The 18,188-nt window shown below is 42.9% G+C and overlaps 1 protein-coding gene across 9 annotated transcripts in view, besides 1 other annotated feature; it reads left to right on the top strand.

Moving 5' to 3' along the window:
* The window catches only part of TENM4 (teneurin transmembrane protein 4), a 788,202-nt gene that overhangs the window by 459,166 nt on the left and 310,848 nt on the right, over positions 1–18,188 (top strand). The gene's annotated exons all lie outside the window — the stretch shown is intronic.
* Positions 7,451–8,058: an enhancer, noted in NCBI's record as "OCT4-NANOG hESC enhancer chr11:78684852-78685459 (GRCh37/hg19 assembly coordinates)". NCBI's record gives its function as "activates a minimal SCP1, AML or CMV promoter by ChIP-STARR-seq in naive and primed H9 embryonic stem cells {active_cell/tissue: H9 hESC(naive and primed)}" and the evidence as "EXISTENCE:reporter gene assay evidence [ECO:0000049][PMID:30033119]".

The following is an 18,188-nucleotide window of genomic DNA, read 5'->3' as shown; positions in this document are numbered from 1 at the left end:
AGGACATGGCTCAACAATAAGGGTGGAAACGAAAGCAGTGGGAGTGGGTTTTTATGAAGACTCTGTCTACAGTGAGGTAGGAGATCTTAAGATGCCTTATGCAAAACCGCAACTCAAACCGGCTTCAATGATTATCGTTAGCTTCAACATTTATTATCTCATTTAGCAAGAAGTCCAGAGATAGGGCAATTCCAGGCATGTTCATCAAGGCTCAGATTCAGCTTCTTGGCTTCCACTGCTACAGTCCCAGGCATTGTGTCCGGATGATTCCCCGTCCAGGGAACCCCCAGACCTCTCCTCATATCAGATTGGCCGGTGGTCCAGATTCCCTCATGAGGAAGGGGACTTTTGTAACTTGCCAGTCAGGATCTTCCAACTGAGACACATAACCACAGTGTGGCTAGCTGAGCAAAGTCAGGATTCTGTTAGGAGGGCAGTAGGTATTGCTATGCAACCAAGAGTGGCTGCTACAAATGGAAGATAATATAATTAGCTCTACTTCCCCCACCACAGGACTGTCGTGGGGATGCAATGAGATAATGGGTGTAAAAGGATTTTCTGAATCATAGAGTGTTCTGCACATGGGATGGGTTGTTACTATCCTTATAGAATAATTATATTTCTGTTATAGAATAATAGATGACACTTGAATGCAGTCATCCATCCTGCTTGTGGTGTGCTTTCTTGTTCATCATCCCCTCCTCGCATACACACACCTGTCATAGAGATATAAAAATCATCAGCATTTAAAAATAGGCCAGATACTTCATAGTAATGAGGTTATGGATGTCAGTGCTCTCTGCAAAGCCGTATACATGGGGGAGAGATTATTGTGGGATATAACATAGATTTGGAAATCAGTCACAGGTTCCAATCCAGCTTCTACACCTTTCATGCCATGTAACTTTAGATACATTATTTAATTTCTCTAAGCTTATTTCTCCATCTAGAAAACAGGAATAATAATCTCTTTCCAAAGGTTTCTGTGGGAATTAAAGATAAAGTATATCAACACCATACCTGGCACAGAGCAGGTAGCAAATCAATGACAGCAAACACTTCAGTAGAGCTCTCATAGAACTCTTTAAGCCCCTGTACAACCCTGTGAGGTAGGTACTATTATCCCTTTTCTATAAGTAAAGTAACTGAGGCTCAGAAAACTAAAACTTTGCCCACGGTTGTACAGCTACTAAGTGGTGGAGCGAGGATTCAGACTCAGACATGAGTTCATGTTCTGACCACCCTGCTAAGCCAGACTTCGCTACTGTTACTATTGTTGATATTAATGGCACAAAACCATTTCCACTGCTGCCTTCCTATAGGACCTTGGGCTCATTCTGTCACCTTCCAGGCCTCAACTTCCTCATGTGCAGTTCCACAGCTTGAGCTTATAGAGCTTTGCTCCTTTTAAGCCTCACAGAGAAGTCATTAGGAGTTCAGAGTGGAATCATCCACCTGGGGCCACCTCCTGGCTCTCGCCTTACCAGTGGCTATGTGACATTGGCCATGTTGATTGACCACTGTTTTCCTTATCTCTGAAACGGGGATAATGAAAGTCCCTACCTCTTAAGATTGCTGTGACAATTAAAAATGGATGCATGTCTATACACAGCATGAATGCAATGTCTGGCAAAGAGAAAGTGCTCGATCAATAGTAACAACAATTATTATCATTGTTGTTATTAGCAAGTCATCTTCCTCTTCTGTGAATAAAGTTCTTCTGACAGCAAAGGACTCAGTTATTCAGCCAGAAAGCTTGAGGGCAGTTTCTTTCAGAAAATCATAGACTTACAGAATATAATCACTTAACCTTCTTTAAATTTATCTTCTCTCATCTACTAAATGGGGGTGATGGTAACTCAGAGAGTTTAATATGAGGATTAAGTGGAATAGCACAAATCAGTCTTGCTAGTTTTATTATTGGAACTCTAAGGGAGCTTAGAAGGGAACTCATGTAACCATGCTAATTTTCAGCTAAATTTCAGACCCAGAGAAGTTTGGTGACTCAATTCAGGTGGTACAGACAAGTTGATAACTGATGATGGATCTAGAGCCCAGGGAGTCGGGACAGACCCTGGATTCTACCAGAAGCCTTTATAGGATGTGAACATGGCCTGTCTCCTCAGTCATTTGTTTACCACCATCCCTATCTCTGCTCCCAACTTACTCAACTCTTAGTACTTGGAGTTCCCTAGCTGTATCGTGCTCTTCTCTCCCTGTGAGCCTTGGCATAAGCTGTTCTCTCTGCCTGGGACACTCTAACCAGCCCACTGCTGTAGACACACATGCATGTACAACACATATGTGCATGTACAACACATATGTGCATGCACAGCACACATGCATGCCCACAATGCTTTCTTAACCTGGCCAACTCCTGGTTCACCTTTAGGCTTCTGTTTAAATTTCCCTTTCTCTAGCAAGGGGCCACTGAGCCCCAAGGCTCCATCAATTAAGGCCTTGATCTTTGTGTTTGCCTCTCACAGCATTGTAGGGGAATTGCATATTCCGGGTTTGCTCAGCCACTAAACTGGGAACTTCCCAAAGGCAGGTGAGGGACCTAATCGACTTCCCCTCTATGACTAAATTGGGGTGCTGGTTGGAGTCCCTCCCTTGGGAGGGCTGAGAACTAAGCAGGCAGGATTTCAGTGGCAGGACACCCCAGAGGGATGCTTGGCCTTCTTCCTCAAGTGGCTGGCACTGCCCTCCTCCAACTAGCTCAGGGACCTGTGACAAATCACACAGAACCAGCCACCCCTCCCAGCCTCACAGACCACTGGACACTGAGAATTTGGCTTGCAGAAACATTCTGAATGCATTTCTTACCCTACAGGCACCTTTCTCTTCTGTCATTTCCCCAATCCCATGAAATCCAAGGCACATGCAGCCCATGTGCACCAGCACTAAAGTCACAGGAATGCTGCTTCTCACGATGTGCCCAAGAAACACCGAGAAGCTTTGTACACAAACTTCACTCAGTGCCCTCCACTCCAGAAAGCAAGAAACCCTGTTTTGTTAGCAGCAGTCAGACTCTGCTCTCCAGAGTAGGGCAAGATCTGAACTTCTGAGCTTTGAATGGTGAATACCCTTAACCTCCAAAGTATGAACTCTTTTCTCTCCAGATAAGCTTTTTTGGTTACAAGAAACAAAAACATTCAAACCTCTAATTTTTTTTCCCAATCTAGTGCCCTTGGTCAGAGTGACCAGCCTTCTTATTAGTTGATTTCTCGTTCCGTCCTGGTGTCCACTTCCCCTTTGACAATGCCATTAGTCCGTTTGGTGTGGTTGCAGGAAAAAAAAGGATGGGTAGAGAGCCTGCCCACTTTGGTTCATTCCTGCTTCTCCTCTTATGAACCAACTAACTTTAGTCTGTCTGGAGCTCATTTCATCAGTAAAATGGAAACAATAATACCTACCTTGTAAAAGTGTTGCAAGGACTAAATGGATCATTTATGCTAAGGCTCCTTTTCTTTTCTTTTCTTTTCTTTTCTTTTCTTTTCTTTTCTTTTCTTTTCTTACTTTAAGTTCTGGGGTACATGTGTAGAACGTGCAGGTTTGTTACATAGGTATGCATGTGCCATGGTGGTTTACTGCACTTATCAACATGTCATCTACATTAGGTATTTCTCCTAATGCTATCCCTCCCCTAGCCCCCCATCCGCCAACAGGCTGCAGTGTATGTTTTTCCCCTCCCTGTGTCCATGTGTTCTCATTGTTCAACCCCCACTTATGAGTGAGAATATGGGTGTTTGGTTTTCTGTTCCTGTGTTAGTTTGCTGAGAAAGACGATTTCCAGCTTCATCCATGTCCCTGAGAAGGACATGAACTCATCCTTTTTCATGGCTGCATAGTATTCCATGGTGTATATGTGCCACATTATCTTTATCCAGTCTATCATTGATGAGCATTTGGGTTGGCTCCAAGTCTTTGCTATTGTGAACCGTGCTGCAATAAACATATGTATGCATGTGTCTTTATAGTAGAATGATTTATAATCCTTTGGGTATATATCCAGTAATGGAATTGTTGGGTCAAATGGTATTTCTGGTTCTAGATCCTTGAGGAATCACCATTCTGTCTTCCACAATCGTTGAACTAATTTACGCTTCCACCAACAGTGTAAAAGCCTTCCTCTTTCTCCACATCCTCTCCAGCATCTGTTGTTTCCTGACTTTTTAATGATCGCCATTCTAACTGGCGTGAGATGGTATTTCATTGTGGTTTTGATTTGCATTTCTCTAATGACCAGTAATGATGAGTAAAGCTCCTTTTCTACAAATGACCACCTGCTGAGGAGAACCTGTGTAGGCTAGACAAGGTAGTCTAGTAGACAGAAAATGGGCTCTGGAGTCAGACCTGGATTTGCAGTTTACTGCCAGTAGATCCTGAGCAAATCACTTGGGCTCTCTGTGCCTCAATGTATTCATCTGTAAAAGGGGACTTTTATAGTGTAAGTTCCACAAGGACAGTGTTATGTGTTGAGCACTATTGACCCACCACCCAGCCCTGCAGAAAGGTATATTGAAGTCCTAATCTCCAGTACCTCAGACAGTGACCATATGTGAAAACAGTGTTGTTGCAGATGTAATTAATTGAGATGAGGTCATAGTAGAGGAGGGTGGGAACCTACTCCACTATGACTGGTGTTCTCAGAAGAAGGCAGCGCCACGCAGGGAGCACACATGTGATGATAAAGGCAGAAACTGGAGTGATGCAGCTGCAAGCCAGGGAATGCCAGAGATGACAGCAACCCACTAGCGCTAGGAAGAGGCAAAGAAGCATCCCCCTACAGGGTTCAGAGAGAGCATGGCCCTTGTCCATATCATTATTTCAGACTTCTGCCCTCCAGAACCATGAGACAATGAATTTCTGTTGCATATTAAATGTCAAGTAATATTGCTGAGTGCGAGAGTGATTCCTGTTACGGAGCTATGTTGGAAAGCACGTGGCAAGTGCTTAGTGCGGTGCCAGACACAAAAGGTATTTGGCAAATGCTTATTCCTTTCTCTTCACTTATCTCAAAGGTTCCTTTCTGTACAGAGTGCAATTTAGGATCAAAAAAAAAGTTTGTTTTTCTTCCAATTTGGACCTAAAGCTGCCTGAAGGGTTCCTGCTTTAAGAACCAGACCTGGTCACTCAGGAGCAAGGTTGGAAAGCCATTTCTCTACATGTCCACTCTCCCCCAGCTGCCTTCCTCGATTTTCAAGATTTCTTGGAGTGACAGTAGAGGAATTTCTAGAACTCTTGGTCCTCATTATGTTTGTGCTTTCCCCAAAAAAGTTTCACAAATCTTTATAGAAATCTAATGCAAGCAAGAGGCCTTGGCGCAGTGATCAAGTTCATGGAAAGCTGTTTCGAATCAGGGCATTTACTGGGGAAAAGCTGTTTTAGAAAAATATCTCTTAGTATATGCTTATATCCACACCACATGGCTTTCTGGTTTTTTTTTTAAACTTTTTATTGAAATATAACAGATATTCAGAAACTCCACAGATGATAAATACACAGCTCTGGTTTTATTTTATATGCTTTGGGTTTTCTTCCCCACTGGTTGGTTTTTTGCCTGGTTCATTGGTTACACGAATCCCTGACTGTCACTCTAAGATGCTATGGAAGGAGCTTTAGCTGTAGGCTCAGGAGGCCTAGGCTGGAAGCCCAGATCCACACCTCACTAGGTCTGTAGCTTTGAGCAAATGGCTTCACTTTGAACATTATTGTCCTCTTCCCAGGGCTGATGAAAGATCAAGGAAGTAAACTCATAAATTTACAAATGTACATTATTATGTTTATTACTATTATTTATTAAGGTTATTTTAGTCGGAAGCATGTGGGCATAGGGTTCAGCAGACCAAGATTCAGCACCCAGACTGGTACCCACCGGCTGGGTGACCTTAAGCCGCCTCTGTTTGAGCCTCCAAGTCTGTATCTGTCAGCTGGAGAAGTCTTCACACTTTCAAGGGGCATGAGGGTTGATTAAGATAATTTACATCAAGGGCCTTCCACAGTGCTGGACACATAGTAGGTACCCAATTAATATCCCTGCCCTCCCACCCTCCCACAGTTGCTGGTTTCCCTCAGAATCTTCCTATCTCTTGCCCCTTTCCTTTGTACCTAATACCCCCATCATTCCTCCAGTATCTGAGTAGGAGGCTGGACTATTAGATTCTGGTCTTACTCCATCTTGAGGCCTGGAATTTTGCCACTGTATAAATTGAATGGAGGGAGGAAAACATATATATATATATATGTGTGTGTGTGTGTGTGTGGGTGTGTGTATCCCAAGGAAGTAATAAATGACTTGAAAACAGCTATTTGGAAGGACTTTCTTAGTCAAATCTCAGTACCAAAGTGCAGAGCCCAAGCCTCCCTGTTGAAGAGAGCACTCTGTGACCACAGATTATTCAAGGTCTGCCATAAATTTCAGTGACTCCTTGGTCACGTTGGCCAGCAGATTTTGACAGTCAGAGATAATCCAGCTTGCTTTGTGCGTTTCCTCTCTCCCACATCCCATGGAAACTGGCCTTTCCATCAGCCCAATTTCAGCCTCCAGAGGTGTGAATGAACCATCTCACACCCCTCTGGAGGCAGCGCGTGGGCAAGGTTAGAACAATCTGTGAGACACCAGGAGCTGCAGCTGACACATGGAGCTCAGTGAGTCTTCCAGTTGTCGCCCCACCCACCCTACCCCCATACCCCAATACCTCCCTCACAGCTTTTCTCCCTCTTGAGCCATTCCTGCTTGTCTCCTTCACCCATGAGGCTGCATGCCTCTCCAGGGCAAGGAGTAGACTTAGTTCTATGTCTCTAGTGCCCACTTAGGGCTTCACACAGAGAGGTTGCCTGGATGTGTAGCTGGGGCTGGTGATGAAAGGGAGGTGCAGGCCAGGCGTGGTTGCTCACCACTGTAATCCCAGCACTTTGGGAAGCCAAGGTGGGCAGATTATATAAGGTCAGGAGTTCGAGACTAGCCTGGCCAAAATGGCAAAACCCAGTCTCTACTAAAAATATAAAAATTAGCCAGGCATGGTGGCATGCCTATAATCCCAGCTACTTGGGTGGCTGAGGCACAGGAATCACTTGAGCCCAGGCGCTCACGTCACTGCCCTCCAGTCTGGGACTCTGTCTCAAAAAAAAAAAAAAAGAAAAGAAAAGAAAAACAGAAAGAAAAGAAAAAGAAAGAAAGGGAGGTGTGGGAGAGCTACCACTTCCACTTTTTGAGTACCTGCTCTATGTCAGGCCCATGGTAGGCCCCAGACATGCATGCTTTTATGCATTTACTCTGCACAGGACTCCTGTAAGGTAGGACCACATCCTGAGGCTCCCCAGCTCTAAAAGATCAAACAATTTGCCTAAAATCAAAATAATCAGTTTTAAATCCAGATCTTACTTGCTGCCTGTCTCCTGGGTTGGAGCCCCACTTGGCCCCTTAAAAGTTGTGTGTCCCTGCACAAGTCATATCACCTCTCCTAGCCTCAGTTTCTTTATCTATAAAATGAGGGTGATGGCTATTACCCTCCTGGATGTGGTAAGGATCACATGAGATCATGGCTGTGAAAATCCTGTGTAAAATGTAGAATAAATACTACTCACATGTAAATGTTGTTTTTATTAGGAGGTCATTAGGTCAAAATCGGTTGTAATATGTAGTGAGTACCCACTATATGTGGAATTACCATGTGGCCTGTGGCCATATGAATAAACCAGTCCCCACCCTCAGGGAACTTGCCAACAAGAACACCCAGGCATCCTGACCTTTAGTTTGCAGTATTTGCACATCTTTAACCTGGCCCCTGACAATGTCTCAAGGCTGATTTCCTAGCATTTACCTCATTGTTATGCTTCTCTAGTCCTGTTAGCTTCCTTGCTGTCCCTTAGATGAACTTGGTCCTGCTGCAGGGACTTTGCAGTTGTGGGGCCCTCTGCCTAAAAGCTCTTCCCCTGGGTGTCTGCTTGGCTCACTCCCTCACTTACTTCAAATCTCTGCTTAAATGTCACCTCCTCAGGGAGGGCTTCCCTGACCATGCTATTTAAAATAACACGCCCATGCCATCAACTTTGTATTAAGTTGGTGCAAAAGTAATTATGGTTTTTGCCATTATATTTAATGGCAAAAACCACAATTACTTTTGCACCAGCCTAATATTTATCATACTTGATCTTGTTCTATATAGTTATTTGCTTACTTGTTCATTGATGTTTTCTTTCACTAGAATGTAAGCTTCTGAGAGCAAGGGCTTTGTCTTCTTTGTCAGTGATGCCTAGAACACTGCCTGACAGAGTAAGCACAAAACAAATTCTTGGGGAAAAAAAGCAGTACTTACACTTTAGTAATAAAAAGATAAATCAAGTTAAAAATTGGGCAATGGATCTGAATAGACATTTCTCCAAAGAAGATGTACAAATGGCAAATAAGGACATGAAAATATGCCAAGCATCATTTGCCATTAGGGGAAATGCAGATCAAACCACAGTGAGATACTGCTTCATACCCACTATAGTGGCTGGAATAAAAAAGTCAGATAATAACAAGTGTTGACAAGGATGTGGAGAAATTGGCACCCTCATACACTGCCAGTGGGCATTTAAAATGACATAGCCACTTTGGAAGACAATCTGGCAGTTCCTTAAAAGGTTAAGCATACAATTCAGCAATTCCACTCCTAGGTGTATACCCAAAAGAGGTAAAAACATACTCTCACACAGAAATGTATACACAAAGGTTTGCAGCAGCATTATGGATAATAGCCAAAAAGTGAAAACAACCAAAGTTTGAATCAACCCAAGTTTCATAATGGATAACAAAATGTGGCATATCCATACAATGCAATGTTATTTGTCAGTGAAATGAAATGAAATCCTAATCGTTGCTTCAATTTGGATGAACCCTTGAGAAAATATTTTGCTAAGTGCAAGAAGTCACAAAAGAGCACATATTATATGATCCCATTTTTATGAAATGCTCAGAATAGGCAAATCCATAGAGACAGAAAGTAGATGAGTGATTGCCTAGGCTGCAGGGAATTGGAGGACAATAGGGAGTGACTGCTAATGAGTGTGGAGTTTCTCTTTAGGGTGATGAAATGTTCTAAAATGGATTGTGGTGATGGTTGCAATACTCTGTGAATATACTAAAACCCATTGGATTGAACACTTTAGTTGAGTGGCCTGTATGGTGTGTGAATTATGCATCAATAAAGCTGATATTTTTAAAAACTCAGTGAAAGTCCTCATCAAATATACCTGTGTCAAACAAGCAGACTAGCTGGCAGGCCATCCCTGTGTGAAAACCAGAGGAACCTAAAGGGCTCTCTTCTTGATATTCAGGAGACCAGCTTCCCAGGCAGGCGGGTGAAACAGAGGTCTGTTCCTGACAAACACTTTTTAAAAAAATTTTTTTAAAGTCCCCGAGAAACCTGTGAGGAGGAAAGCTAGAGATCAAATGACGAGCCTGAGAAATTTACTGCGTCCTGTTTTTTAAAGACCATTTTTCCAACATAACTCACAGAGACAAATGGCCTGGGACCCGCTCCTGAAAATAACCATTGTCGAGGAGAGTTGACTTAGTGGGAGCTGCCGGACCAGGGGAGTAAGACCCACAAGATTTAATAGGCTGGAAAAGACCTGGGAGGCTGTGGGTCTGCTGAGCTCCTCCCATTAGGGACCCAAGGAAGAAACTGTCATCATGGCTGACTTTTCTGTATGTGTGTCTAATTCTGTTAAAAATAACATTTATTGTTTTTTTAAAAAATCTCATATTCACAATGTGTTACTTGAAAAAATTAGAATATATTTTAAAAAATCAGGAAAACAATTATTTCTAATTTACTGCCCTAAGATTACTGGTCTTAACATTTTTATACAGATTGCACCCATACGTAATTCAACAAAAGTCAGAATTACTTTTTACGCAGTTTTGCATCATGCTCTTTTTATATCCTATTTCCCACGTCACTTAATATTCTTTATAAACTTATCTTACAATATCTGTGTGATATCAGCATTATCCCTTCATTACACAAGGAAGCATTTAATTTTTAACATTTAGGATGTTTTTCCTTTTTAACATTTTTTTTAATGTTTTACTTTTTACTATTACAAATGATGTTGTGATAAATATCCTTAGTGTAAATCTTCTGAGACATCATACTTTTAGGGATAAATTCCTAAAAGTGGAATTGCTCAATTGAAAAGCTTTCACATTTTAAAAATCAGTTTATACTAAATTATACTACTAATATTAATGTATAAAAAATCTTATTTAAGGGGCCAGGTGCAGTGGCTCATGCCTGTAATCCCAGCACTTTGGGAGGCCGAGGTGGGTGGATCATAAGGTCAAGAGATTGAGACTATCCTGGCCAACATGGTGAAACCCCATCTCTACTAAAAATACAAAAATTAGCTAGGCATGGTGGCGCGTGCCTATAGTCCCAGCTACTTGGGAGACTGAGGCAGGAGAAACACTTGAACCTGGGAGGCAGAGGTTGCAGTGAGCCGAGATTGCGCCACTGCACTCCAGCCTGGGTGACAGAGCAAGACTCCGTCTGTAAAAACAAAACAAACAAACAAACAAAAATCTTATTTAAAAATCAACATCTATGAATACCTACTAGATGCCAGATATTTTCACATTTATTATTTCATTTTCTCATGAGGTTTTTAAAAAAATCTTTAAAAGTGTAAAAAGAACTTGGCTCACACCTATGATCCCGACTACTCGGGAGGCTGAGTCGGGAGGATCACCTCAACCCGGGAGTTCAAGGCCACAGTACCCTGTGATTGTGCCTGTGAATAGCCACTACATTCTAGCCTGGGCAACACAGAGAGATCTCAGCTCTAAAATAAATTTTTTAAATAAATAAATAAAATAAAAAGAACTATATATGCTAATTATAGAAAATTTTGAAGATATAAAAGCATATTAAAAATTTTCTATTGCCCATAACAGTGATAACCGTTGTTAATGTGGTTTTTGTTTATTTTTAACCAATCTTTTTTCCTGTACATTTATACAAATTTATTTGTTCCATAACTATTTTTAAGTATCTGCTATGTTGGAGGAATCTGACTCTCCATTGTAAATTAAGTCATTTATATCCTACATTTTTTCCATAGTCTCCTTTAACCCTCAGAGCAACCTCTTGAGGTGTAGACTACAGCTACTGCTGTCTTTTGTTGGACCATAAAGGAACCTTAGAGAATATCCATCCAACAGAGAGGAAAGGATCTTGGACTGCTTTGCCCACGATCTTGGACTGCTTTGTTGACCTGCACCCAGCTATCTGGACCACTATTCCATTGCTACAGACTGCATCCTCTGATGTGGAACTGAATATGTACTTTACTGCCCTAAAAGAGGGTGGCCATGTAATTAATTGACCAAATCAATACATTTTTACAGTAAGGGGAAACTATTATTAATCCATGCAGGATAACAGATGTAAATCGGGGCTGTCACTGACAAACCCGAACGAATAGTCACTCTAGATTTTCAGATTTCCAGCTCTTTGAAATGCTTTCAAAAGTGGATTCCAATCCATTTCAAATAACTAGGGAAACCAGCTCTGCCTCTCTTTGCTGAGCTGAGACTCTGAGTAAGACCAGAACACATAGGTGAGCAATACGTGGTCCCTCTTTGGCAGGATAGTCTATTCAAGCAGTAGACAAGAACATAACTCACTGGAATAAAAAGCAGGGCATGATACCACTGCATTAGAATTCCTGACCCTCCACGAGCCGCAGACCTTTCTATCAGAAGGAAACTTCAGTTTTCTTCAGTGCCCCATCCTCTGCTCAGAACTGAGTATAATTTCACTTATTCAGTGAAGCAACTGAATGCCCTATGGCTAGCACATGAGAAGAAAAAGAATGCATTTGGTTTTAAGTGAAGAAACTAAAATGTTTCTGGAAAGGTTGAATCCATCAGGGCAGTGTGCCACTGAGATGAGGTACCTGCTTAGGTCTAAGGATTTTGTTTTATTTTCTTTCTAGGTGTCATTTATTGAGTAATGGCTGTGTGTTGGGCTAAGTGTTTTACATACAAGCCTCTAAATTACAGGGCTGCCAGTTAAAAGGTTATTAGGAAGCTCTTCCGATAATCCAGGGAATTACCAGGGAAAAAAGTGCCTTCCCTGCAGCCCACAGCTAGTGCTCATGTTACTGTTGAGGACTCACACTTTTCCATTGTGTAAGCTCACATGAATTTTCCTACCATAGACTAGATGGGGTTTTATCATAGACCAATAAGATTCCATTTGGGCATTTAGATGGATTTCTCAGGACTGCTGAGCAAAGTGTTAAAAAGTATATTTTGTTAATGGTCTTTCTTTTTGACAGAGTAATAAACTTGTTCATCAGCTAGCCCTCATAATTTTAGTCTCGTGGTATATTCCAAAGATACACTAAGAATCCAGAATGGTTGAATGTTCTTCTTGGACAACTAGCTTGCTCTATTTATAGGTTAGATTTCAAATGCAAGAGAAAGTTACCATCACCGATTCACACAAGGATGTGAGTAACAGAAATTGTTTCTGCAGATCTTAGGATTCCCTTGTCCTATGTTCTCTTTATGTATTAGGACAGTTTCCCTAACACATTGCCCCTTTTTTTGATATCACCAAATAACACATTGATAAAAGTGTAATTGGCAGGCTTGCAAATCTGTCATTGCTTCTTTCCCAAAACCACCATGTTCTCTCTATGACAGACCTACAGCTGGAGAGATGGCAGACGAAATCAATATTGGCTGAGCCTTTACAGTGAGCAAGCAGACTGCTGGGCTTGTGGTGAGCATAAGATCACCAGTCCTTCAGCAACTGTTTTCAGTGGGTATCATTACTCCTTTTTTTCTAAGGAGAAAATTAACACTAAGAGAAGTAAAGTGACTTATCAAAGGTCACACAGCCAGCAGCGACATTGGGCTTTGATCCTTGGTTTGCCCAATAGGAAGTTCATGGTCTTTCTGCTTTAGCTGTGTTTCCCTGATAGACAGGCCTCTCCCTTTCCCTATGCCTGGTGGAAAATCCAAACCAGAGCTGATGAATTTCACTCTCACCACCACTTGGAAACAGCATTGAAGTTATGGGTTGTCATCTGGGCCTTACGACCATAGACAATTTACTTCACTTCTCTAAGCCTCTGTTTCTTCACCTGAAAAATGGAGATGAATTTTCCTAGTGAGAATGTTTTAAGGAAAAAATCTTGTGAAGAATCTGGGCCCGTTCCTGGCCTCCAGGAGAGGCTCTGTAAATGCCCCACCCCTCTGCCAATCTCCACCATACAGGTGTCTGCACTCCCTAACTGTGTTAGCCCATTTTGCATTGCTATAAAAGAACTCCTGAGGCTGAGTTTCTTTATAAAGAAAATAGCAGTCTGGGCAACCTGGCGAAACCTCGTCTGTCCCCAAAATACAAAAAATTAGCTAGGCATGGTGGCACACACCTGTGCTCCCAGCTACTCAGGTGGCCAAGGTGGGAGGATCGCTTGAGCCTAGGAGATGGAAGTTGCAGTGAGCCAAGATTGTTCCATGACACTCCAGCCTGGGTGACAGAGTAAGACCCCATCTCAAACAAAAGAAAATAGGTTTATTTGGCTCATGGTGCTACAGGCTATACAAGCACAGCACCAGCAACTGCTCTGCTTCTGGTGAGGCCCCAGGAAGCTTTTACTTATCGCAGAAGGCAAAGGGAGAGCATGTGTGTCACCTGGCAAGACAGAGAGCATGAGTATAGAGAGCCAGAGAGAGGAGAGAGGTCCCAGACTCTTTAACAACCAGATCTCAAGTGAACTAACAGAGCAAGAACTGATTCATTTCCAGGGGGAGGGCACCACGTCATTCATAAAGATCCACCCATGTGATCCAACACTTCCCACCAGGTGCCACCTCCAACACTGCGGATCACATTCCAACATGAGATTTGGAGGGGACAGGTATCCAAACTGTATCACTCACTTTGTTTCCTTCTTTCTCCATCTTCATCTCCTATAAGCCAGAGCTGGGCTCATTGAGACTGCCTCTCTAGAAACCTGGATGGTTCCCCTCCACCTTCACTGGTCCTCTTGGTTGTTGGAGTCGGGTGTGAGGAGTTTCATTTCAGTCATCCCACTCTTTTTTACTACAAACACAGTAGAAGCATCTGCAATGCCAGGTTCCCTTCAGCTGATAACCAGGACATGTGGGAAGGCACACCTACACCCCAGTCCCATGGAATCAGGCATCCTTATTTGCCCACGTGAACATACATCTGAGCCCCACCCAAAAAGCAGGCTCAGATCATCTGGATTTTCACCATCCTGCCCGAGCTGAGCCAATTAGAAAGGAGATCTAGGTGACTGAGCAGGAGCCTTATGTTTAAAGAGCAGATCCTTCTACAGTACAGCCCCGGTCTTGTCACTTTCCTGCTTTAAAAATTTCCATGACTCCCCAATTAAGGTCTGATTTCCTTTTTCTAGTGTTCTCATTCCTGTCTTATTTCTCACTGCTCTCTTGAGATAGACTTTTGTGCCATAATCAAGGTACTCTCCTTCCTTCCTACCTTCCTTCTATCCTTTATTCACCTAACAAATATTTACTACTGCGTTCTATGTGCAAGACACTGCACTAGGCACATATGGTAATGGCAAGGCAAGCTAGTGGGTGGACACAGACAAGTAAATACTGCAGGGAGAGAAATGTTGCAAGAGGGAGAGTCCAGGGAGTTGTGGGAGCACCTAGAGGGGGTGCCAAATGCAGGCTTGAAGCATCAGGAAAGCTTCTTGAGGGAGGAGGTCATGAAATTAAACCCTAAGGATGAGTGGAAGCTAAGAGACATATAGGGTGGTAGTTGTGAGGAGGAAGGAAGAGGAAAGGAAGTGCCCCAGGGAGGAGGAACAAGCTTGTGCAAAAGCTCAGAGGCAAAACTTTTGTGGTTGTGCTCCATGGGTTGCCGTTCAGATAGATTTAATGCAAAAAGTGCCCTAGAGCTCTGCAAACTTGGCAAAAGAGAGAGCACTGAGTCCATGGAAATGAGAGCAGGCCAGCGTGTCTCAGCAAGTCTCAGTGGACTTGGTAAGGAGAAGCTAATGGTAACAATGAGACTTGGGAGGTAAGGGGACAGGTGGGGAGACAGATTGCTGAAGACCAGGTGAAGGATGAAGGCTTTAGGCCAGAGTATCCTCCCTCTGCCGCAGATACTAATGCTCCTATCTTTTCTCATTGAAATCCTCCAAGGCTCAGTGAAGCGTTTCTCAGTTCCTCCAGTTGAAATGAGCCCCCCAGCTCCTTGCACTGGGCTGTGGTTCTGTTCTGACAGGTCCTACCTCTGCCCTGCTGAGACCTCCTTGTGCACTCTCCCTCCCCTCCTTCCAGCTCCCTTGCAGCTGTGCTTCCTAATTGTATCTCCCTCACCTTCTAGCCCAATCACTGAGTGTTTAGGAAATGTTTGTGGAATGAAACAGGATTTGCCATACTTTCGTGATCATACACTGTTTTATAAAAAAGAAAACATGAAGACAGCTAGTCCTCACTTTACATGTACATATTTATGCATAGCAACATCTAACATTTATTATAGGTATTTACTGGCTGCCACACACAGTTCTCAACATGTTACTTATTTTAATTTTAATTTCTTTCATCCTCAGAGCAACCCAGAAATTAGTAGGCACTCTTTTCTTTCTTTTTTTTTTTTTTTTTTAATTTTCCTTTATAAAGGTGTAGAAACGGAGGTGCAAAGGGCAAAGTAATTTACCCAAAGTCACTGAGCTGGCAAGTAATGGAACCGGATTTCAAATGTAGGCAATCTGGCTCCAGAGCCATACTCTCAATGTGACCCTACCCTGCTCCGGTACATGCTGGATTGGTACAGCAGTGCATTTTCATACACATATTCCAAGCACTCGTGTATTACATATGTTAAAAAACATACTAAACAGAAATTTGAAATAGATGAGTTAAAATGTTTTCTTACATCTTAGGAAATAGTTCTGTGTACCCTACCTTGGAAACCACTTAAATTCAAAGTTGCCAATGACTAAGAGGAAGGAAATTAACTTGTTTCCAATAATAACTGTACTTCACAGAAACTCTGCACACCTACTAAGGGCCTGGCAACTTGTTACGGGCTCCTGTATGTTAGCTATGAATATTCAGAGCAACCCAGAGGCCAGAGGAGAGACCAGGGAATGCGTAGGAGAAAGAAGAGACAGGGACGAGGCCTGGGAGGGCTCAGTGCCGTTCTGCCGTTCTCACCCCAGGGCTTCTGAAGTTTATGACGGAACAATTTACTTAGTTCTGGAACTATTTATTTCGTAAAGCTTGACAGATTTACTCAGGAAGAGGCTGTAACAAACACCCTGAAACAACATATCATGTTTCTTAATTTTTGTCTGAAATTCTAACAACTCAGCATGGACTGGTTATCTCAAGCTCATTAGAAGCTCCGATTGAAGATTATATTGTGTCTTTGGTTAATAAAAGATGAGGAAATCAACGTATATTGGCTTAATACATGTGGCCTGGTAGACAGAACTTTTCCAAAACTGGAACCGTAGGGGGAGTCATGAATGTGGTTCTTGGTGGGGCGGTTTTGTTACCTTTAATAGATATTTGGTGAACACTAACCACCTGCTCATGCATATTGTGTACTCACATACATTATCTTTAGTCCTCACAGCAGCTATATAAAAGGTAGGGGTGGTGGGTGGACAAATTACAAATGAGGGGCCGGGCGTGGTGGCTCACCCCTGTAATCCCTGCACTTTGGGAGGCCTAAGCGAGCAGATCTTTTGAGGTCAGGAGTTCGAGACCAGCCTGGCCAAAATGGTGAAACCCCGTCTCTACTAAAAATACAAAAATTAGCCAGGCATGGTAGTGCACACCTGAAATCCCAGCTACTGGGGAGGCTGAGGCAGGAGAATCTCTTGAACCCGGGAGATGGAGGTTGCAGTGAGCCAAGATCACACTACTGCACTCCAGACTGGGTGACAGAGACCCTGTCAAAAAAAAATTAAAAATTACAAATGAGGAGCTGGAAGTATTTTTCCTAATATCATAAAACTAATAGGAGGTAAGTCTGTGATACAAACCCCAATTCTGTTGAACTCCAAAGCTCATTCCACAAGTGCACTGTACCCCAAGAATATACTATATACTTTCATGTAGGAGACAGATACAGATAAATAGAAATATAGCAGAGCAGATATATCAGAACTGAAGACAAGGTTAATTCAGAGAAAGGAATGCAGAATGTTCAGCCCTCTAGTACTGGGTGGTCAGTGGTGTCAGGGAAGGCAGGCTCTCAAGGTGAATCGGGAATGCTGGCTTAAAAGATTGTACGGTGAATCATAGCCTGAATTTTTAGGTAAAGAAACCAAAACACAGAGGAAGAAGCCACCCAGAGGTTGTACCTTGGTCATTTATTTCTGCTGCTTCAATTCTTCTTGCTGAATTTCTAATATCAACCAGCCAAGTGGCACACACATCAACTCTGTAAAATGTTGTCACATAAAGTTAAGCTCAGGGGTTAACCTTAAGAGTCATGGAACCTGGGGCCAGGCACGGTGGCTCACACCTGTAATCCCAGCACTTTGGGAGGTCGAGGCAGGCAGATCACGAGGTCAAGAGATTGAGACCATCCTGGCCAACATGGTGAAACCCTGTCTCTACTAAAAATACAAAAATTAGCTGGGTGTGGTAGTGCACACCTATAGTCCCAGCTACTCAGGAGGCTGAGGCAGGAGAATTGCTTGAACCTGGAAGGCAGACGACGCAGTGAGCCAAGATCACACCACTGCACTCCAGCCTGGCGACAGAGCAAGACTCCATCTAGGGGAAAAAAAAAAAAAAAAAAAAAGTCTGGGTGTGGTGGCTCACACCTGTAATCCTAGCACTTTGGGAGGCTGAGGTGGGTGGATCACAAGGTCAGGAGTTCGAGACCAGCCTGGCCAACATAGTGAAACCCCATCTCAACTAAAAATACAAAAAAAGAAAAAAAAAATAGGCAGGTGGCAGGCACCTGTAATCCCAGCTACTTGTGAGGCTGAGGCAGGAGAATCACTTGGACCTGGGAGGCAGAGGTTGCAGTGAGCCAAGATTGTGCCACTGCACTCCAGCCTGGGTGACAGAGTGAGACTCTGTCTCAAAAAAAAAAAAAAAAAAGTCATGGAACCTGCCAAATCCTATAGGAATTGGTGACTGTGAACCAAGTGGGCTG

This window comes from Homo sapiens, chromosome 11 (genome assembly GCF_000001405.40).
Source record: "Homo sapiens chromosome 11, GRCh38.p14 Primary Assembly".
Classification (NCBI taxonomy): domain Eukaryota; kingdom Metazoa; phylum Chordata; class Mammalia; order Primates; family Hominidae; genus Homo; species Homo sapiens.
This window is presented reverse-complemented; position numbering and strand designations above follow the sequence as displayed.